The sequence below is a fragment of the Homo sapiens genome, chromosome X (assembly GCF_000001405.40).
Source record: "Homo sapiens chromosome X, GRCh38.p14 Primary Assembly".
Lineage (NCBI taxonomy): Eukaryota > Metazoa > Chordata > Mammalia > Primates > Hominidae > Homo > Homo sapiens.
In genome coordinates, this window is record NC_000023.11 from 70662340 (window position 1) to 70686108 (window position 23769).

The 23769-nt window shown below is 37.7% G+C and overlaps 1 protein-coding gene across 7 annotated transcripts in view; it reads right to left on the reverse strand.

The window, feature by feature from the left end:
• Positions 1 to 23769, reverse strand: part of TEX11 (testis expressed 11) — a 397485-nt gene that overhangs the window by 151113 nt on the left and 222603 nt on the right. For 6 of the 7 annotated variants that reach the window (XM_017029649.1, XM_017029650.1, XM_017029651.2 and 3 more), the window contains 3 exons: positions 20335 to 20486; positions 16465 to 16550; positions 8038 to 8175 (listed from right to left, as the gene is read on the reverse strand). In XM_017029649.1, the coding sequence (XP_016885138.1) occupies positions 8038 to 8175; positions 16465 to 16550; positions 20335 to 20486 (376 nt within the window). Of the gene's footprint in view, positions 1 to 8037; positions 8176 to 16464; positions 16551 to 19765; positions 19829 to 20334; positions 20487 to 23769 lie in introns of those variants that run through there. The other variant, XM_017029652.2, reaches the window with a different exon arrangement.

The window sequence follows — 23769 nt, forward strand, 5'->3', positions numbered from 1 at the left end:
AGCCTCCAAGAAATATGGGACTATGTGAAAAGACCAAATCTATGTCTGATTGGTGTACCTGAAAGTGACGGGGAGAATGCAACCAAATTGGAAAACACTCTGCAGGATATTATCCAGGAGAACTTCCCCAATCTAGCAAGGCAGGCCAACATTCAGATTCAGGAAATACAGAGAATGCCACAAAGATACTCCTCGAGAAGAGCAACTCCAAGACACATAATTGTCAGATTCACCAAAGTTGAAATGAAGGAAAAAATGTTAAGTGCAGCCAGAGAGAAAGGTCGGGTTACCCACAAAGGGAAGCCCATCAGACTAACAGCTGATCTCTCGGCAGAAACTCTACAAGCCAGAAGAGATTCTCTAAAATTCTAAAATTGAGTGAAAGAAGCCAGATTTAAAAAAAAGGTAAAGTACATACCGTGTAATTCCATTTATATGAAACTCTAGGAAAGATAAATCTAACCTATAGTGATAGAAAGCATACCAGTCATTGCCTGGGGCTGGGAGTGGAGGTGAGGATTGACTGGGAAGGAACACAAGGAAATCTCTCAGGATAATGGAAGTCTTCTATATCTAGACCATGGTAGTGGGTAAATTTGGGGTATAAAGTTGTCAAAATTATTGAACTATACCTAAAATGAATGCATTTTTGTATGTAAATTATATTTTTATAAATTCATTTTAAAATAAATTAGTAATGACTTGCAAGGGTTCCTTTAGTTTTCAAATTCAGTGATTAATGAGCCTAGTCCCCCACAAAATCCTCTTTGACTATAATACATTTTATCAGGTTATACTGATATTTCAGAAAAATGTGGGCAGAAGATACCTCAAAGTTCTCTTAGTCAAAAAATTCTTCTGATGCTTGAATCTCCTCTATAACATTTATACCAAGTCATTCAGTCTTTACTTAAATATATTCAAGAAGACAGAATTCACTCTATTTTAAGAAAATCCATTTCATTGTTTTGGTAGGTCAAATAATTAAGAAAGGGTTTCCTTATGATAATCCAAAATCTCACTCCTTGTAGGTCTCACCCATGGAAACACTCATGAAATAAATTTAATTTCTTTACTCCCTGACAGCCATTCAAATATTGGAAGAAAGCTATCGTGTTTCTCGTAAATCTTCCATTTCCCAAGTTTAACATCCACACTTCCTTTATTCTTCAAATTAGATGATTTTTAGTGCTCTCACCATCCTCAGTGCCTTCCTCTTGGCACACTTGGGTTTGTCAATATCCTCCTTTATAAGTGGTGCCCCTCAATCCAATACAATACAGATGCTCCTCAACTAATGATGGGGTTACATCCTGATAAACCCATGGTAAACTGAAAATATCCTAAATAGAAAGTGCATTTTCAACCTATGACGGATTTATCCAGACATAACCCCATGGTAACTTGAGGAGCTTATTGAATGAGTATTGCTTTCATACTATCATAAGATTGATAAATCCTAAATCGAACCCTTGTAAGTCAAGGGCTGTCTATACAGTTGTTCCCTCGTATCTTTAGAGGATTGGTTCCAGGACACCCTCGGATATCACAATCTGCAGATGCTCAAGTTCCTTATAGTAGTTGCATATAACCTACACACATCCTTTTGTATACTTTAAATAATCTCTAGATTACTTACACCTAATGCAACGTAAATGTTCTGTAAATAGTAGTTACACTGTATTGTTTTATATTTGCATTATTTTCTATGTTGTATTGCTATTTTCTAAATTGCTTTTTTCTGAATATTTTCAGTCTGCGTTTGATTGAATCTGTACTTCAGATATATTCTAACCAGAGCAGAATAGAGGGTGATTGCCACTTTTTCTCCTTCTATACATTAAATCTCTATTGATTCAACCTAATTTGAGTAAACTTTCTTAGTATTTTTGGCTTATGCAGTGCTTATAGTCAATAAAATGTACCAAGTGACTCACATATGCTGCTTTTAGAGCCATATTTTATCTACTTTGTTCTTGTACAATTGGTTTTGGGATCCAATTATAGGATGTTTTGTTGTTTCCTGTTTGTCTTCGTCTTGCTAGAATAGGCTCATCATTTCAACCTATTAAGGTCCCTTCAGATCTGACTCTATCTTCTAACAAATCAGTTACCCTTTTCAGCTTCACATCATATGTACATTCAATCAATATTCACAAACGTCCTCATCTATATATTCCTATTCTAAGTTCATATGGTACATACCACACAATGATGTGTGATTGAACAGCCTTTTATTATTTTCTAATTATTTTATATATGTAAATATTGTTTCTGCATTAATATTTTAGGCTCACTTACAGAATAGATCATGTCTTCTACTTATTCTATAGTGCTTGGCACAGATTAGGCATTTAATATTTGTTGAGTTGGAATCTCAGTCAGGGTATTTTTACAGTATAGCTGTATCAAATGAGTCACAGCTGACCTTCATCTTATGTTTCTTTAGTGGTTTTTTTTTTTTGCATCCATATAGATGCATTTGTGGGAAAGGTACATCTACCTAAGAATTACAAAAAAAAAAAAAAAAACCCTCAGAATCAGTCAAGCACAAGCTGATGAAGTACAGAGGCCACAGTGCCATCTAGTGAATATCACTAGTTTATGTCTGCTGGTCCCAAGCTCATTTTTCGAACTTTATATGGTAAAGAGAAACAATATATAACCAGCACATGAGACATAACTGTCTTCACTTTAGGTCACATAAATATTCTATGAATAGTCTCATCTTTGTGTCTGTTGTAAGTCTTACAGCCATTCTGTGGTTTGAGAGTGTGGTTCAGTTTTATCAAACTATAGTAGTGCTAATGACATTCATGTACCTAAACTGCAGTTGCAAGCTGAGGATGGGACTTCTGTACTGAGTTAAAGAGTACCCAATTGTGCATTCCCATTAACTTACACAGACTATCACCAAAACAAGTCATTATCCATCTGTCAACTAACATTAAGGTTTTATTATGGTTTGCAGCAAAATCCCATTATATCAAGGTGTGATAAACTGCTTCTGTATTTAGAACCCAAGCTCATTTCCTTCATCCTTAATCCATTCAAACCTATGACTTGCACAAACCAAATATTTTTAAATCCTCAAAAATAATATAGCAAAATCAGGATACCAGGCTTAAGGCACTACAAACACCTCAAAGGCAGAGTTGATATCTATGAAACAACATTGTTTAATATTGTCTCATGCAAAGTACTGAAGATATCTGAATGGATAATAGCAATTAAAAAATTTTTATTTATACAATTTAGAAAACAAACCAAAGAAATGATCTATAATTGGCATTGTTATCTCAAAAAGAGGTTGCCAAGTGTGCGAGCTAATGAATCTGTAACCTAATCTACTAAAAAGTTCAAGGGAGTCTATTTCTCAACTCCATTGGCCTGCCCAAATTAACTTCTGACCTATGATTCAATATTTCATTTTAAATCAAAATAAAATGCGTTCTCACCCTCAAAAGAGAAAAGAGCTGAGCTGGAGAAAGTTATAGTGGGATGATTTTTAATAATATAATCTCATTCAGTTCTGATAATCAAAGAGCACTCACAGATCTTAATCACTATTAATTTCCAAATTATGCATAGTAGCAAGGACAGAAATAGCATGAGGAAATGGAATTCCTATATCAGAAGAAGTTGATTGACAGGTATTTATTGAGTCTTTATAACTATTTTTAATGTAATGAGCATCTACTATGCATTAGGCACTATGCTGGGTACAAGGGCAAATAAAGATAAGATATGGTCTCTGTCCTCAAGGAGGTGACTGACAGTCCAATAGATGACTAAGGCAGGTATAGAAATAACTAAAATATAATGAGAAAACAAGTATCTAGGGATAAACAGAACTGTTACAAAGTCTTGGAGGAAAGGCAAGACAAGGAAATTTCCTCAGGAAGCTAAGAATGTCATTAAGAGTTAGGCTTTGAAAAAGGGAATTTTAAGCTAGGCTTTGAAAAGGGAATTTTAGGGATGCAGGAAAGAGGTAATTTGCAATGAAGAAGCATGAAAAAAGATACTGAGGTAGAAAACATAGATCATGGCTAGGAAGCAGCAAGTACTCCAGTTGAGGACAAACATAGTATACAAGGAAATAAAACAGAAACAGTTTCCATGAAAGTAGGTTGTTATAAAGCCAGAAAGCCCCTTGGATTATGTCTCCTGGCATGAGTCTACTTCCCTTTGACTTTCTGCTATGTTTTGATCTAGCACAAAAGCCCTCACCAGAAGCCAAGCAAATGCCAGCACCATGGCCCTTGAACTTCCCAGCCTGCAGAATCATGAGCTTAAATAAACCTATTTTCTTTATTAATTACTCAGTCTTAGGTATTCTGTTATACCAACACGAAACAGACTAAGACACCACTACTTCCCTGATCACATCTCCTAATTCTCCTAATGTTCCCTCAGCTCCAGCCACAAAGGTCTCTTTGCCATTCTTTAAATACCCTAGGGCCTTTGCAGTTGTTATTCCCTCCATCTGGAATGCTCTTTTTCCTCAGGTCTCTACTTAAAAACAATCTTCTCAGTGAGGACTTCCCTGACCACCCTATCTAAAAGTTCAACCATTCATCCGCCTCTGAAACATTTAATATCACCCTTTCCTGCTTAGTTTTCTCCTTAGCACTTATCAATATTTAATATACCAGGAGTCAACAAACTATAGCCTTTGGGCAAAATCTGGCTCACCATATTTTTTGTACAGTTCATAAGTTAGAACAATTTTACATTTTAAGTGCCTGAAATAAATCAAAAGAATCATATTTTATGACACACAAAAATTACATGAAATTCAAATTTCAGTATTCCAAAACATAGTTTTATTGGAACACAGCCACACCAATTTGATTACATACTGTCTATGGCTATTTTCAAGGCACAACAACAGAGTTGATTAGTTTCAGCACAGACTGTATGGCCTGCAAAACCTAAAATATTTACTGTGGTTCTTTACAGAAAGTTTGTTGACCCCTATAATATAACATAATACTTATTTATCTTTTTATTGTTTGCCTCTCCTAGTGGAAAATAATGGGGACAGCAGTATTTGTCCATGTGGATAAAGGTTTTTATATATTTTGTTCATTACTATATCCCCAATGCCTAGAACAGTACTTAACACATAGGAGACAATAAATAAATATTTTTGAATGAATGAACACTAAAAAATTGGATTAGAAAGTTTGGCAACAAAAAGAAGGACACAGAACTGAAGTTTGAGGAGGATTACAAAGTTGAAGGAAGGTTTTTGGATAAAGAAGACTTCAAGGTAATTATAGTGACAGGAGAAAGAAACAGTAGGCCGGGCGCGGTGGCTCACGCCTGTAATCCCAGCACTTTGGGAGGCCGAGGCGGGCAGATCATGAGGTCAGGAGTTCGAGACCAGCCTGGCCAAAAAGGTGAAACCCTGTCTCTACTAAAAATATAAAAAATTACCCAGGCGTGGTGGCCCATGCCTGTAATCCCAGCTACTCAGGAGGCTGAGACAGGAGAATTGCTTGAGCTCAGGAGGCGGAGGTTGCAGTGAGCTGAGATAGCACCATTGCACTCCAGCCTGGGCAACAAGAGTGAGACTCTGTCTCAAAAAAAAAAAATAAAAAAGAAACAGTAGAGAATGATTAAACAGCTAGGGTTGAGATCTGTAGAGTAAGGTCCCCAGACAAAGTTACTTCTTTCTCGTAGGTAAGAGAAAAGAAAGGATGGGTGAAGAGGTGAGAAATTGATGAAGTTCATGTCAGTGGCTACAAGCTCAGCAAATCACACGATAAGATCTTTTGCTACAACAAAGGAGAAAGCATGGGTGCTTAAGGACAGAAAAAAAATGTTTTGGAATTATCACTGTGGGGAATGTGATAAAAACTCAACAAGAGTCAGTATTATTGACTACCTAGCTGAAAAACCATGAAATTTTAGCAAACCCAATAAACATGGTTTCATAAATTTTCCCAACAATGCTCAAGCAACTCAAAGGAAGGAGTGAAGAAAGACAATGAAAGCTAACAAAGGTTAGACACTGGCGAGGTGGGATTATTAAAATATGATGGATTGTGTATTTTTTTCACCTTTCTGTCTGTCCTAGTGCATAAGAGGATATTCATTGTATATGGAGGGTATCCAATCAATGTCTGCTAAATTCAAGACAAGGATGAAATGGAGAAATATACTAACAGTAACCAACAAAGTTACCTTGAATATATTCAAAATATCCTTTGGTTTCACCACTAATCTGGCCATAAATGATACAGTTACATATTGAGTACGCACCATTAAAATACACCTGGTTTACTGTTCTCCTATTCTTCCTAACCTCACTATTAATACCATTTGAATTTCCAATTATAAAGTCAGTGCTATACTAGGCTCTAGGACCAAACTTGACATTAGAAGAGATGTAAGTAGCATTGCTTAAGTCTCAGAAAACTGTATCTAGTCAACTTGTATTCCTCTTCTGGTCATTGCTTCCCAGTTTGGCTCCCTATGCAGGGGATCTGCTCTTAAAAACAGCCTCATATCCTGGCCCCTTTAGTTGTGGAGATCTACTTTGCTCTTTCTAGTATGTCTGCACACACTCCTATTCCTCAAAGATTTGTGTACTGTCTCAGAGTCCAAATATCTGTGATTGAAACCCTGTTCCCTGCTGTTATGTTTATGTGATGCCAACCACCTGTGTGCCTGACTTACGGACTATTTCCAACATTTAGATTTCTCTCATTGCCATGCTCTGCTTATCTGCCCATTAGGATACCATGATGTCAGCTGCTTGAGTGAGTTGAAGGCAACTATACTTTGTTCATCTCTGTAACCTCAGAGCCTAGCATAATGTCTGGTACTGTGTTCTTTCTTTCTTTCCTGACTGGCTGATTAGATATCCTCCCTTGGCCTGCAAATGCATCCATTCCCCAACTAGCATGTCTACATCCAGATATAGGTCCTTCCCAAGCTGCCTAGCTCACTGTGTCATAAATCATGGAAGTTATAAAGGCTCTGTGATTGCCTTCTTTATTAGTCTTTAAGTAAACAGTAGGCAACTACCTTTCTGAAATAGTGCTGTCCTGTGCAGAATTAGGTAACAAAATCTACATGATCATCTTCCTTTTAGATCTTAAACTGTAGGTAACTATTTTCTGAAACAGTTAAATGCTAGCCTGTACAACATTATGATGAATTAAGTAACATTTCAAGTTCTCTTCCAGGGCTGTGACTTTATAACATATAAACTAAATAGCAAATATTTTCTTGAAAGAAAATCTAAAGTATTTAAGTCAGATAAACAACTCTTCAAAAATAAACCTTCAAAGAAAACATCTGGAATCATTACCCTTAATCACCTAGGTGAACAAAGGTTAGACCTGTCATTAAAACTTGAAAGGCAACAAAAACCTTCATATTTCATTTGGGTTCACACTTGTCCTTCTAGTTCTTTGTCCTTCTAAGAGCCAATACCCCTCATTACGTGCATACCATATGATAACCAAAGGAAGAAATGTCCTAATTGCTTTGGAAAGTATTTCCGTTCTATCTTTAAACAAGCTTTTATCTTCTTTACCTTCTAGAATTTTGTCCTGATAAGAAATCAGTTAAAGAACATTTTCTAGGGTGGTTGGAAAGGCAAGAGATAACAACCTAGAAAGTGAAAGAATGGCCACTTCATTCAAGTATTTGGTCTCAATGAATGCTTGACAAAAGTGTGTACTTCAAAATTTAGCTTGCTGCAAAGGACAATATTACAGATGGTTAGTAGCAGATAACTTTGTTCAGGAGTTCCAATGATATATTACCTTTCAGAATAGGTGTGAAAAATAAAGGGTAAGTAATAGAATTAATGGTATTCCAAATTCTCTCTTTCTTTGGGAAGTTTCACTCTATGTTTACAGTGTGCAAATCAAGAAAATGTCAATTTGACCTTGTTCTATATGAGGGAACTCTCAGACATCCTAAACTAACAGCCAGGAAGTCACAGCATGGCATCTATCTCTCTGCCACTGCACATAAGAACATTTGCTACCTCTGAAAATAGATAAATCAAAGGACCTTATCAAGTTGTTGCAAATTCAGGTAACAGCAAGCCATGTTCCTCTGCAGCTTGGTGAAGTCCAGATCCATTTCATCAGTTGAATAAAACCTCAGAGAATAATAGTACCATTGTAGGGCATCAGTGTAATTTTGTACCTAAAGTTTAAAAAGAAACAACAAAATCACAGCGATGTCGCTACCCTATCTTTCCCAAGTCACCTCTAGAAACAAATAAAAGATGCTGTTGGTTTCTTTTTTAGGCAATCAAAACACAATATCCTTTATATAGGGTTCTAAGTGCATTTTATTATCAGTCTTGGTCAACATAAGTTTTAGATAAGGTGGCAATCAGTATTCTTTCTTTTTCCTACACATTAGAAATTTCACACATAGGATGAAGAGTCTAAGAGTGTAGTAAACCACCCCAGAAAACTTAAAATCTATTTTAAAAGTTATTAAAACAACAACGACAAAAATTTTAAAAGAGAACACCCATAATTCACCATGCTAATGCAGCTATTTTCATTTATCTATGTTCAATTTTAACTGTATTCTTTTGTATATTTACCTAGTTGTAATCGTAGCTTATATAGAATTTCATGTTCTATTCTTTCCATTTAATTTTGTTTTGTACATATTAATCTATGTTGCTATGTAGTCTTCACAGTAATCAATTTTAGGAGATACATAACATTTAATCAAGTATATAATGATTTTCTTAATGTTAGCTATTTAGTGAATTTGCAGGGTTTTTACTATTGTAATTGATGCTGCTGTATTTGTATATAAAAATACATTTTTCTCTTGAGTAAATTTAAAATTTTCAATGGTAAGAAGCTAGCTAGGGAAAATCTGATAGGAATAACCTGGATAATTATTTCTTAATCTAAGAAAACTGAGACTGCTTATAAACCAAGGTAAGGTAAATGATTCCCTTGTACCCTATCAAGAAGCTTCATATTTTTCAATTAAGAATAGGAGCCATTAGGACCTTCAAGGAATAAAACACCCTCTTCAACTAGAAACAATTATGCTAAATAGGTAAAACACTGCCTTTGACTATTACATTAGTCATAGTAGATTAGAAATATGTCATATTAGAAATAGTCAATTAGAAATAAGATTACATTCCTCTCCAGTGTTGGAAGTGGATGTTTTAAGAAAATTATTCAGCAAGACTGGAAAATGAGAGGAAAGAAAAAGAATCAATAGAAGAATGGGAATTCTGAAGTAGTTCTTCACCTATTCAGTAAAAAAATAAATAAAGGCCTTCTAAAAGAGAATACGAATATCATTCTATCTTGTGGTACCTAACCATAAGACCTAGGTTTCTACATGCTCCTATAAGGGATTCTCTTTCCTTCTCTTGGGTCTAATTCTTTGTTTCTCAGATTTTGTTCCCTTTTTTCTCTTCACATCTTTCTCCTACAAAACCTACCATAACATTTTTTGGAAAACAGTTTTATTGAGGTACAATTGACATATGAAACACTATGAATATTTAAACTGTACAATTGTTTTGATATATATATATATATATATATATATATATACACACACACATAGCTAAAACCATCAACACAGTCAACGGAGTGAACACATCCATCACAACCATTTTTTCTTTGTAATCCCTCAATCCAGTTCATTCTGGTCTCTCATACCCCAAGCAGTTATGGATGTGCTTTCTATAACTTTCTATAACTATTAATTTTTATTTTATAGGCTTTTATACAATGGAATCATCTAATATGTATTAATACTTTTTTGCCTGGCCCCTTTCGCTCAGCAAAACAGTTTCTAGATTTATCCCCATTATTGCATCTATCAATAGTTCATTCCTTTTCATTGCTGAGTAGTATTTCATTGAAGGACATACCAGTTTGTTTATCCACTCACTTGTTGATGGACATTTGGCTGTTTCCAGTTTTTAACTATTATAAATAAAGCTGCTATCAGCTTTTACATGCAAGTTTTTGTATGGATAAATAATTCCTTTTCTCTTGAGTACATACATAGGATTGAAATGGCTGGATCACATGATAGGGGCAAGTTTAACATTTTAGAAAACTGCCAAACTATTTTCCAAACCGTCTGTACTATCTTATATTTCCACCATGAAGTTCCAGTTCCTCAACATCTTCGTCAGCATTTGGTATGGTTAATCTTTTCCATTTTGGCTATTCTAAGAATTATGTATTGGTATCTCCTTGGGGTTTTCGTTTGCATTTCCCTAATGACTCATAAGTCATCTTTTTTGGGTGCTTATTTTCATGCATATATCCCTTTTTGGTGAAATGTCTGTTCATATCCTTTGCTAATTTTTGAATTGTTTTTCTTTGTACATTGAGTTTAGAGAGTTCTTTCTATGTTTTAGCTACTAGCCCATTATTGTATACATGGTCTGAAAATTTTTCTCCCAGTCTCTAGCTTTTTTCATCTATTCAACAGGATCTCTTTTTTTTAAAGTATAATTTTCACTTTATTTTCTTCAGAGGATAGCTTTTTTTTCAGTCCTTAAGGACTCAGCTCCATATGTAGGCTTTGGTGGAGGTTGGTGGGCAGCACCCACAGGTCTAAATCAGGGTTGGGGTGTTTGGTCCTTACCGGCTTCACGAGATTGATTCTGGACTACCTTGCTGTGAATGGTGCAACTCATGCAGTAATGTAGCTTCACAAACAGCTTGGGAAGCACATAGACATCAAAGACACTGGCTTCAGCTATGTCCCTGATAGCTGTGGCCTCTACTATGTTTTGTTGTTTTCTTTGTTTTTAGCTTTTGAGACAGGATCTTGCTCTGTGACCCAGGCTGGAGTGAAGTGGCATGATCACAGCTCACTGCAGCCTTAAACTCCTGGGCTCAAAGGATCCTTCTGCTTCAGCCTCCTGAGTAGCTGGGACTACAGGTGCATGCTACCACACCAGGCTAAATTTTTTATTTTTGTATAGATGGTGCTCCTTTATATTGCCCAGGCTGGTTGGTCCCAAACTCCTAGGCTCGAGCAATCCTCCCGCCTCAGCCTCTCAAAGCACTGGGATTACAGGCAGGAGCCACCACACTTGGCTTTCTACCATATTTTGAATGATAAACTTCTTAACATCCTTGTCTTTAGTCACATATCAAGTGCAGTTCATGCAGGGAATAGGCTGCACATGACCTGGCCTAGATCCTGAAGATTTTCTCCTATGTATTTTTATTGCACATTTTACATCTAATTTTATAATCTATTTAATTTTTGTATAAAATGTGAAGTTAAGGTCAAGGGTTTTTTTTTTTCTATGGATGTCCAATTTCTCCAGCACCATTAGTTGAAAACACCATCTTTTTCCATTGAATTACTTTTGTGCTTTCTCAAAAATCAGTTGAGCATATTTGTGTGGGATTATTTTTTGGTTTTCCATTCTGTTCCATTGATCTATGGATCTATGTCTCTAATGATACCACACAGTCTAGATTACTGTAGCTATATAAAAAGTGTTGAAATTGAATAGGGTAATTCTTTCTGTTCTATTCTCTCTCAGGTTGTTTTGGCTATTTTCTTTTTATAATTTTTATTTTAGGTTTAGGGGTACAGGTGAAGGTTTGTTACATAGGTAAACACATGTCACAGGGGTTTGTTGTACATATTATTGCATCACCCAGATATTAAGCCTAGTACCCAATAGTTATCTTTTCTGCTCCTCTCCCTTCTCTCATCCTCCACCCTCAAGTAGACACCAGTGTCTGTTGTTTCCTTCTTTGTGTTCATAAGTTCTTATCATTTAACTCCCACTTATAAGTGAAAACATGCATTATTTGGCTTTCTGATCCTGTGTTAGTTTTCTCAGGACGATAGCTTCCAGCTCCATCAATGTTCCCGCAAAAGACATGATCTTTTCTTTTTTATGGCTGCATAATATTCTATGGTGTATATGTACCACATTTTCTTTATTCAGTCTGTCATTGATGGGCATTTAGGTTGAGTCCATGTCTTTCCTATTGTGAATAGTGCTGCAATGAACATTTGCATGTATGTGTCTTTATGATAGAATGATTTTTATTCCTCTGGGTATATATCCAGTAATGGGATTGCTGGGCCAAATGGTATTCTGCTTTTAGTTCTTTCAGAAATAGCCATACTGCTTTCCACAGTGGTTGAACTAATTTACACTCCCACCAACAGTATATAAGTGTTCCTTTTTCTCTACAACCTTGCCAGCATCTATTATTTTTTGACTTTTTAATAATGTATCTTGGCTATTTTCATTCCATTGTTTTATATATAAATTTTAGAACAATCTTGTCTCTCTATATTTTTCTGATGCTTTTGTTTATAACCAATTTGTATCTTTATGTTTAAAGTACATTTCTTTTAAGCAGTACATAAACTTGGGTCTTGCTCTTTTATCCAGTTTGACAATCTCTGCCTTTTCACTGGGGTCTTGAGGTCATTTTCACTTAATGTGATTTTTTTTTCATATGCTTAGATGTAAATCTATCATCTTGCTATTTGTCTTCTATTTGTGCCATCTTTTTTGATCCGTCTTTCCTTTTTCTGCCTTATTTTAGATTATTTGAATATTTTTATGATTTGATTTTATCTCATTTTTAAAAAAAACTCTTTGTTTTGCTATTTTAATGGTTGTTTTAGGGTACATAGTATACATGTTTAACTTATCATAGTCTATCTTCAAGTGATGTTATACCACCTCACTTATGGTATACTTCCATTTCTCTCTTCTTGGCCTATATGTTCTTGTCATGCATCTTACTTTTACAGGTTATAAACTGCAGAATACAATGTTATTATTTTTGTTTAAGCAATAAACTATCTTTTAAAGAGATTGTAATAATACGAAAAAAATCTTATCAATTACTCATATAATTACCATTTCTGGTATTCTTTATTCATTTGTATAGATTCATATTTCCATCTGGTGTAAGTTTCCTTCTGCTCAGAGGACTTCCTTGTAATGTAGATCTTTGAGTGATTAGTTATTTCAGCTTTTAAATGTCTGGAAGACTATTTTGCTTTCATTTTTTAAAAACATATTTTTATTATGGTAAAAAACACATAGCATAAAATTGACTACTCTGCAACCAATCTCCAGAACTTTTTCATCTAGTAAAACTGAAACTCTATACTCATTAAACAACTCCACATTTTCCCCTCCTCCTAGCCCCTGGAAACCACCTTTCTTTCTTTTCTTTTTCTTTTTCTTTTCTTTTCCTCTCTCTCTCTCTCTTCTTTCTCTTCTCGTTTCTCTTCTCTTCTCTTCCCCTCTTCCTTTCTGTTTCTTTTCTTTTCTTTTTCTCAGAGTCTCGCTCTGTTGCCCAGGCTGGAGTGCAGTGGCACAAACTTGGCTCATTGCAACATCTGCCTCCTGGGTTCAAGTGATTCTCCTGCCTCAGCCTCCTGAGTAGCTGGAACTACATGCGTGCACCACCACACTTGGCTAATTTTTGTATTTTTAGTAGAGACGGGGTTTCACCATGTTGGCCAGGCTGGTCTCGAACTCCTGACCTTAAGTGATCCACCCGCCTTGGCCTCCCAAAGTGCTAGGATTGCAGGTGTGAGCCACCGCATCCGGCCCATTCTACTTTCATTCTCCACGGATTTGACTACTCTAGGTACCTCATGTAAGTGGAACCACACAGTATTGTTTTTTGTGACAGGCTTATGTCACTTAGCATAATGTCCTCAAGGCTCATCCATGTTATAGCATGTATCAGAAGTCCTTGCTTTTTAAGGCTAAGTAATATTTCATTGTTTGAGTATACCCCATTTTATTTATCCACTCATTTGTTGATGGAACTTGGGTTGCTTCCACCTTTTGGCTGCTATAAACATGGGTGTGCAAATATCTTGCTTTTAATTCTTTTGGATATACAAGCAAAAGTGAAAATGCTGCATCATATGTTAATAACATTTTTAATTGTTTGAAGAGCTGCCATACTGTTTTCCATAGTGGCTACACTATTTTACATTTGTACCAACTACTTTCATTTTAAACAATACTTGTGCTGGATACAGAAATTTTGGCTGACAGGTTTTAATTTTCTTTCATTATTTTAAAGATGCTGCTCCACTGAGTTCTTGCTTGCATTACTTCCAACAAGAAATCTGACGTTCTCTTTAATTTATTCCTCTGTATATAAGGTGTCACTTTTATCTGGCTGCTTTTAGGACATTCTCTTTATCACTGGTTTTGAGAATTTTGATTACGTGCGTTGGTGTCGTTTTGTGTTTCTTGTGTTTGGGGTTTGTTAAGATTTTTCTATCTATCTGTGCATTTAGAGTTTTCATTAAGTTTTGAAAGTTTTATTTCTTCAAATATTTATTATCTCCATCCTCATTTGGGAATCCCAGTTACCCGTATATTAAGCTACCTAAAATTGTCCCTAACCTCACTGAACTCTTTTAATTTTTTTAAGGGTTTTTTCCCTGTGTATTTCATTTTCAATAGCTTCTTTGCTATAACTTCAAATTCATCAGTCTTTTCTTCTACAATGTCTAATATGATGTTAATACTGTCCAATGTGCTTCTCATCCTAAACAGAGTTTTCATCTTTATAAGTTTGATTTGGGTCTTTACGTATCTTCCATGCCTCCACTTAACTTTTTGAATGCATGAAATACAATTATAAGAGATGTCCTCTGTTAATGCTAACTTCTATGTCAGTTCTGGGTCAGTATCGATTGATTGCTTATTCTCCTCATTATAGGTTGCATTTTCATGCCTCTTCACATGCTCAGTAATTTTTTTGCTGGATGCCAGACATTGTAAACTTTATCCTGTTGGGTGCTGTACAGTTTTATATTCCTATAAATATTCTTGAACTCTGCTCTGGGAAGCAATTAAGTTCCTTGGGATCAATTTGATCCTTTCACACCATAGGTTTATAATTTTTAAGGTAGTTCTGGAGCAGGACTTAGTGTAGGACTAATTATTCCCCTCTTCTGAGACAAGACCCTTCTGAGTTTTCTTCCCAATGCCCCATGAATTAGAGGTTTTCCAGACTGGGTGATAAGAACAGGCCTTATTCTCAACCCCATGTGAGTGCTAGGCACTGTTCCCGCTAATATTTTTAGATGGTTATTCTCCTAGCTTCAGGTAATTTTGCTTCATGTATGTCCTGATCAGAACTCTGTTAAACATTGGAAGAGGACCCTCATCTCACTGAAGCTCTTTTAAGTCTTTTATTCAGTGTGTTTAATTTTGAATAGCTTCTTTGCTCTGACTTCAAGTTTATCAATCTTTTCTTTTACAATGCCTAATCTACGCTATGTGGTCCTCTTCAGTACTTTGTCTTATAAATTCTGGCTGCCTTGGTCTCCTCAGACTCAGCTGCATCTCAAATCAGGACGCTTGCCAGGCTCTGCTTCAGATCCCCTTCTTGTGCTATACCCTGGAAACTCAAAGCAGTAAGCTGCACAATTGTAATGCTCACTTTCTTTCTTTCTTTTCTTTCCTTTTTTTTTTTTTTTTTTTTTTGAGATGGAGTCTTGCTCTGTCGCCAGGCTGGAGTGCAGTGGCGCGATCTCGGCTCACTGCAACCTCTGCCTCCCGGGTTCAAGCGATTCCCCTGCCTCAGCCTCCTGAGTAGCGGACACTACAGGCGTGTGCTACCATGCCCAGCTAATTTTTTGTATTTTAGTAGAGATGGGCTTTCACCATGTTAGCCAGGATGTTCTCGATCTCCTGACCTTGTGATCTGCCCACCTCAGCCTCCCAAATTGCTGGGATTACAGGCGTGAGCCACCACGCCCGGCCAATGCTCGCTTTATTTCTTATCTCCCAGGGACCATTCTCCTTCATTGCCTGATGTTCAGGGTCATAAAAGCCTTTTTTTTTCTTTTCGTCTATTTTGTCTTGTCCTTTGTGGAGAGGGGCTTGTTGTTCAAGAAGGGACATAAAACAGTCCCTGTTACTACATATTAATTGCAAGTGGAAGCAAACACAACTTTTTTTTTAATGGTACGTCCCATCTGATTTATATACACAGGGACACAAATGTATAATACACAAAGATTAGAAGGAAATATACCAAAATTATAAATGATTGTTCTTTGCTTTAAAAAAACTTATCTTTAGGTTTACAGGAAACCTGAGTTGTCTTGTAAAGGTTTTTTTTTCCATTTTTTATTACACCATTAAGTTTTTAAAGGGAATAAAACTCTTTCTCAGCCCTCATGTTAAAAAAATTACATTCTTATATCTTAATATCAGCGATGACATTTCCCTACACTGTAAGCTCTCAATGGAGAGGAATCATGTCTTATTATTTTTAATAAACTCTTGCACAATGCTCATTAACACTCTATATTGTGAATATTTAATAAATATATGGTATCTAAACAGACAGAGATTATTGAAGTATTTGATGCTCTTTTATTTTTATAGTGAATGCACTATTTTTTGTTGCAGTGGAGAAATAAAGAATGAAAAAGAGATTATTCTCAAACCTCAAAACTACTGGCAGCTTGTCTCCACAGAATGTTGTGTAACCAGTTCATTGATTCTGCTGTCAGTTGTCTTCCTGTTTGGTGAGCTGAAAAAAAAAAAAAGCTCTGAAAATAAGAATCTCGGTCTATTGTCTCCCTCTCCCTCTCCCTCTCCCTCTCCCTCTCCCCACGGTCTCCCTCTCCCTCTCTCCACGGTCTCCCTCTGATGCCGAGCTGAAGCTGGACGGTACTGCTGCCTGATTCTCCTGCCTCAGCCTGCCGACTGCCTGCGATTGCAGGCGCGCGCCGCCACGCCTGACTGGTTTTCGTATTTTTTTGGTGGAGACGAGGTTTCGCTGTGTTGGCTGGGCTGGTCTCCAGCTCCTAACCGCGAGTGATCCGCCAGCCTCGGCATCCTGAGGTGCCGGGATTGCAGACGGAGTCTCATTCACTCCGTGCTCAATGGTGCCCAGGCTGGAGTGCAGTGGCGTGATCTCGGCTCGCTACAACCTTCACCTCCCAGCCGCCTGCCTTGGCCTCCCAAAGTGCCGAGATTGCAGCCTCTGCCCGGCCACCACCCCGTCTGGGAAGTGAGGAGCGTCTCTGCCCGGCCGCCCATCGTCTGGGATGTGAGGAGCCCCTCTGCCTGGCTGCGCAGTCTGGAAAGTGAGGAGCGTCTCTGCCCGGCCGCCATCCCATCTAGGAAGTGAGGAGCGCCTCTTCCCGGCCGCCATCCCATCTGGGAAGTGAGGAGCGTCTCTGCCCGGCCGCCCCGTCTGAGAAGTGAGGAGACCCTCTGCCTGGCAACCGCCCCGTCTGAGAAGTGAGGAGCCCCTCCGCCCGGCAGCCGCGCTGTCTGAGAAGTGAGAAGCCCCTCCGCCCAGCAGCCACCCCGTCTGGGAAGTGAGGAGCGTCTCTGCCCGGCAGCCACCTCGTCAGGCAGGGAGGTGGGGGGGTCAGCCCCCCGCCCGGCCAGCCGCCCGTCCGGGAGGGAGGTGGGGGGGTCAGCCCCCCGCCCGGCCAGCCGCCCCGTCCGGGAGGGAGGTGGGAGGGGTCAGCCCCCCGCCCGGCCAGCCGCCCCGTCCGGGAGGTGAGGGGCGCCTCTGCCCGGCCGCCCCTACTGGGAAGTGAGGAGCCCCTCTGCCCGGCCAGCCGCCCCGTCCGGGAGGGAGGTGGGGGGGGTCAGCCCCCCGCCCGGCCAGCCGCCCCGTCCGGGAGGTGAGGGGCGCCTCTGCCCGGCCGCCCCTACTGGGAACTGAGGAGCCCCTCTGCCCGGCCACCACCCCGTCTGGGAGGTGTACCCAACAGCTCATTGAGAACGGGCCATGATGACAGTGGCGGTTTTGTGGAATAGAAAGGGGGGAAAGGTGGGGAAAAGATTGAGAAATCGGATGGTTGCCGTGTCTGTGTAGAAAGAGGTAGACGTGGGAGACTTTTCATTTTGTTCTGTACTAAGAAAAATTCTTCTGCCTTGGGATCCTGTTGATCTGTGACCTTACCCCCAACCCTGTGCTATCTGAAACATGTGCTGTATCCACTCAGGGTTGAATGGATTAAGGGCGGTGCAAGATGTGCTTTGTTAAACAGATGCTTGAAGGCAGCATGCTCCTTAAGAGTCATCACCACTCCCTAATCTCAAGTACCCAGGGACACAAACACTGCGGAAGGCCGCAGGGTCCTCTGCCTAGGAAAACCAGAGACCTTTGTTCACTTGTTTATCTGCTGACCTTCCCTCCACTATTGTCCTGTGACCCTGCCAAATCCCCCTCTGCGAGAAACACCCAAGAATGATCAATTAAAAAAAAAAAAAAAAAGAATCTCGGTCTATTACATTAAGTAAAGAGAGCTAACTATACTCAGAACCTATAATCTTTAAGTAATGGCTACACACAAAAAAATTCAGACAGGTTTTCATCATCAATTTTAGGTTTACTACCATAATTGATAATATAATGCAATCAGAGTTTGCTAGAATCACAGTAATTCTCCCATCAATCTGTGATAGTTTTCCAGCCTACTCTCTTTTTAACTGATTTTCCACATTCCAAATTAGATCATCATCTGGTGCCTTAATAAGGTTATTGTGAATGAGCAGACAGCAATGCCAGAAATCATTAATAAGAAGTGCTTATACTATTATGTGCTAAATAGATCAGATCAAGTTCACAAGAAAGGCCAATTATGCCTTAAAGCCTTTGTAAAATACTTTAAGACCATGCTTACACATAAACTTTATTACTTTAAATCTTAACTTGCGTTGATTGTTTCTGGTCTAGACATTTACAGAGTTCAAATACATTAGCACATTAAGGTAAAGTCTAAACTATAATAGAATTCTGCACCTCCTCTTCTGCCCTTTGGCATAAACTATCAATTTCCACAAAAGTCTTGACTAGAACATTAGGAATCTCTGACCCTCTAGCCCAGTCAGCAAATGTAGTTTGTTCCATGACTTACTTAAAAATACTCACATGAGAGTAAACAGCTACTAAATGTATCTACTTGAAATATTATAATACTTTGAGAGTGTAAGTGTAACTTAGATGTCATAATAGAACAGTCTAAGTGGAATTTTAGGAAAATGAGTAATTCTGTGTAATCAAGTTTTCTGGTCAACTGGCAGTTTACTTTCTTTAAATAAAAATCACTTCTGAATTTAAAAAGTCTGAATATTTTCATGAAAGTTCTTAAATTTTCTAAAAAGTAAACAAACTTCCTAGTTTTCTTAAGCATAATTCAACTTTTTCTTGACCACTTGAGGTCAACATTAACAACTATTTTATTTTATTGTACTATTAATATATCACAGTGATGCCTTTGGGAGTTGTTATACAGTACAGATTGTTGTATTAAAAATTTGAATCTGTTTTATAAAATTGGTAGAGTTTTTTTTCCTCCCTATGGTCAGGCTATCTGTATACTTCCCTTTAAACCTTTTCTCTATTTGCAAAGTGCTACCATCAAAATGTTAAGAGTAGGAAAACCGGATAACCAAGTTTATCAAAACTGGGTCTAAAAATAATTGGTAAATGCCTGGAGGGAGGGTGTTATCAGTAAAATATGGCTCTTAGAGATCATCTACTCAGATGACTTCCTTTAAAAAATTAATGACTTTGTTTTTATAGAAACATGAATTGTGCTTATAAAAATTCAAACAATATGGTAGAGTATTTAGAAGAAAGCAACACGTCACCTAAAATGCCACCATTCAGAATAAACCCCAGAGTTAACATTTAGTGACTATCACTCCAATTATATCTCTACATGCACTTAGTTGGAAGGACGAAGTGGTGAAGAGAATTTTCTAAGAAAGGGATCTTACTATCTGTGTTCTTCAGGGTACAGAAGTTCTGCAGGGAGGCAGAGGATTAGGGGAATGCTGAGCAGATTTGGCTCTACATCTCTGCTTTAACCAGAAAAACTCTAATCTATTTCATTCAGGGTGGGGTTCATATAAGATTGCATCACAAAAGGATGCTGCTGCTGAAAAGAAGTTAGAAACCAGGAGTTTAGTTCACAATCATCATTTTATAGTTGAAAAAAAAATCAAGGTCCTTTGACTTGTTCAAAGGTACACAGCTAAATTGAGATCAAACTAGAGATATTAAATTAGGCTTGTAACCTCACAATATTCCACCACATGTGAGCTTTAAGCTCAGAAGTTTGTCTGTTTTCAATGATGGTTTCTTATTTTTGCTTAGTTTCTCATTCCACTTGCCCAATTTGTGGGATGTGGACAGGTGAGGTGTTACTGTTAAAAGACCATTAGGGAGGAAGAAAAAAAGGAAGTGGAAGAAATCCATTGACTTGAGGATTTTGCTATTACTCTGACATCTAAGAATTATACACAAATTAATACGTTTCTAAAACACTTGCGAAAATCCTACTGACCTAAAAAGATTTCTTCAATCTTCTCCTTGGCAAGAAGTTCTTCCTTCCTTTGTAAAAGCATGTCAGTATGGAGTATCAGAACTTTTCCAATATTTTCCGATGACTTAAAACGTTCATGAATAATCGTCAGGAAATGAAACCCAACAGATTCTCTGTACAATGAGACACAATTTTAAGCAATGCGAACAGAAAAACTGGTTATTGATCAATGGGACTAAAATGTATTTCAGTGTGAGCAAAATAAGCCAGATAAAAGCATATCTGAACTCAGGTAATGTTATTAAATGTCTAAATAAGCTTAATTTGTCAATATTACATGATTTAATTTAATTTCAGTTTATTAAGCCATAAACATTTTCTATTAACACCTATAGTCAGATAATCATTTCTCTCCTAATATCTAATTTATGTTTTTCCCAGAACTGATTGCAAGCTTTAAAAATTGGTTACCGAGATCCAGTGAAGTTACATGAAAAGACATGAGAAATTTACTAGTTCCTCGGCCAAAACCTCTTTCTAAAAACTTGTTTATGTTTGATTACACAAATAATACACTAGTATCTTCTATTTAAAAATGTAAACAGTTCACGGGTTGGAAGACTAAATATTGTTAATGTGTTGATATTCCCAAAGTGATCTACAGATTTGCAGATATTTATCCCTATTAAAATCCCAGGCCAGGTGTGGTGGTTCACGCCTGTAATCCCAGCACTTTGAGAGGCTGAGGTGGGCAGACTGCTTGAGCCTAGGAGTTTGAGACTAGCTTGGGCAAGATGGCAAAAGCCTGTCTCTACAAAAAATTGGCAGCTGTGATGGCGCATGCTTGTAGTCTCAGCTACTAGCAAGGCTGAAGTGGGAGGACTGCCTGACCCTGGGAGGTCAAGGCTGCAGTGGGCTGTGATCGGGCTACTGCACTCCAGCCTGGGCGACAGACTGAGGCCCTGTCTGAAAAAAACCCCAAAATCCCAATGATGTGTTTTGCAGAAATGGAAAAAATCCATCCTAAAATTAATATGGACTTTGCTCAAGGGACCCCAAAAGCCCTAAACAAACTTGAAAACAAAGAGCAAAATTAGAGGATTTGTACTTTCTGATTTCAAAACTTATTACAAAGCCATAGTAATGAAAATGTGTGGAACTGGCATAAAGATAGACATATAGACCAATGGAATGGAATAGAGAACGCAGAAATAAATCTTGTTATATATCATCAAATTATTTGTGACAAAGGTGCCAGGACCATTTAATGGTGATAGGACAGTCCTTTCAGCAAATGGTGATAGGACAGTCCTTTCAGCAAATGGTGCTAGGAAAACGGGATTTCCACATGCAAATGAATGAAATTGGATTCTTATCTCATATCATATACAAAAATTAATTCAAAATGGATCAAAGACCCAAATGGAAGAGCTAAAAAACTGTTTCCATGGGACCAAGTGATCCTATATACGGAAGACTCTAAAGACTCCACCAAAGAACTCTAAGAACTAATAAATTACTTCAGTAAAGTTGCAGGTTACAAAATCAACATACAAAACCCAGAAGCGTTTCTTTGTGCCAACAATAAAATATCCAAAAAGGAAATCAAGAAAACAATCCTATTTACAATAGCATCAAAAATATATAAAATAGTTGGGCACAGTGGCTCATGCCTGTAATTCCAGCACTTTGAGAGGCTGAGGAGGGTGGATCACTTGAGGTCAGGAGTTCGAGACCAGACTGGCCAACATGGTGAAACCCTGTCTCTGCTAAAAATGCAAAAATTAACTGGGCATGGTGGTGCATGCCTGTAATCTCAGCTACTCAGGAGGCTGAGGCAGGAGAATCACTTGAACCCAGGAGGTGGAGGTTGCAGTGAGCCGAGATCTCCAGCCTGGGTGACAGAGTGAGTGAGACTCCATCTCAAATATATATGAATAAAAGTAACCAAGTAGGTGAAACATCTGTACACTGAAAACTAAAAAACATTGATGAAATTGAAGAAAACAAAAATAAAATAGATATCCTGTGTTCATTGATTGAAAGAATTAGTATTATTAAAATGTCCACACTACTCAAAGTGATCTACAAATGCAAGGAAATCCCTATCTTAAGTCCAATGGCATTTTTCACAGAAATAGAAAAGCTAATATTAAAATTTGTATGGAACCACAAAAGACTCTGTGCCAAAGCAACCTTAAAAACAAAAACAAAATTGGAGGCATCACGCTTTCTGATTTCAAATTATACTACAAAGCTATAGTAATCAAAGCAGTATGGTACTGGCATAAAAACAGACACATAGACCAATGGAACAGAATCGAGAGCCCAGAAAAAAACCCCAAAAAACCAAGTATATATAGCCAACTAGTATTTGACAAAGGTGCCCAAAATACACAATGGAAAAAGCACAGTCTCTTTTGTGCTTGGGCTGGGTGCAGTGGCTCACTCCTGTAATCCCAGCACTTCAGAAGGCCGAGGTTGGTGGATCGCTTGAGGCCAGGAGTTTGAGACCAGCCTGGCCAATGTGGCAAAACCCCATCTCTACTAAAAATACAAAAATTAGCTGGATGTGGTGGCACATGCCTGTAATTCCAGCTATGCGGGGAGGGCTGAGGCACAAGAATCACTTGAACCCAGGAGACACAGGTTGCAGTGAGCCAAGATCATGCCACCACACTCTAGCTTGGGTGTTGGAGTGAGACTCTGTCTCAAAAAAAAATGTGTTTGGACAACTGGACATCCACCTGCAAAAGAATAAATTGAACACATCCTACAGCACACACACAAATCAACAGAAAGTGCATTAAAAACTTAAATGTAATACTTGAAACTGTAGAACTCCTAAAAGAAAAAAATAGGGAAGAAGCTCTTTGAAATTGGCCTTGGTAAGGATTTTTTTGTATAGAACACCAAAAGCAAAGGCAAAAAAAATTTTTAAAGCAAAAACAAACAAATGGGACTATGTCAAACTAAAAAGCTTCTGCACTGCAAAGAAAACTTCAATAAAATGAAAAGTCAAACTAATTTACATTCCCATCAACAGTGTAAGTGTTCCTATTTCTCCATAGCCTCGCCAGCATCTGTTGTTTTTTGACTTTTTAATAATTGCCATTCTGACTGGTGTGAGATGGTATCTAATTGTGGTTTTGATTTGCATTTCTCTAATGATCAGTAATGCTGAGCTTTTTTCCATATGTTTGTTGGCCACATAAATGTCTTCTTTTCAGAAGTGTCTGTTCATATTCATTGCCCACTTTTTGACAAGGTTTTTTTTTTCTTGTAAATTTAAATTCTTTGTAAATTCTGGATATTAGACCTTTGTCAGATGGGTAGATTGCAAAAATTTTTTCTCATTCTGTAGGTTGCCTGCTCACTCTGATGATAGTTTCTTTTGCTGTGCAGAAGCTCTTCAGTTTAATTATACCCCATTTGTCAATTTCAGCTTTTGTTCAA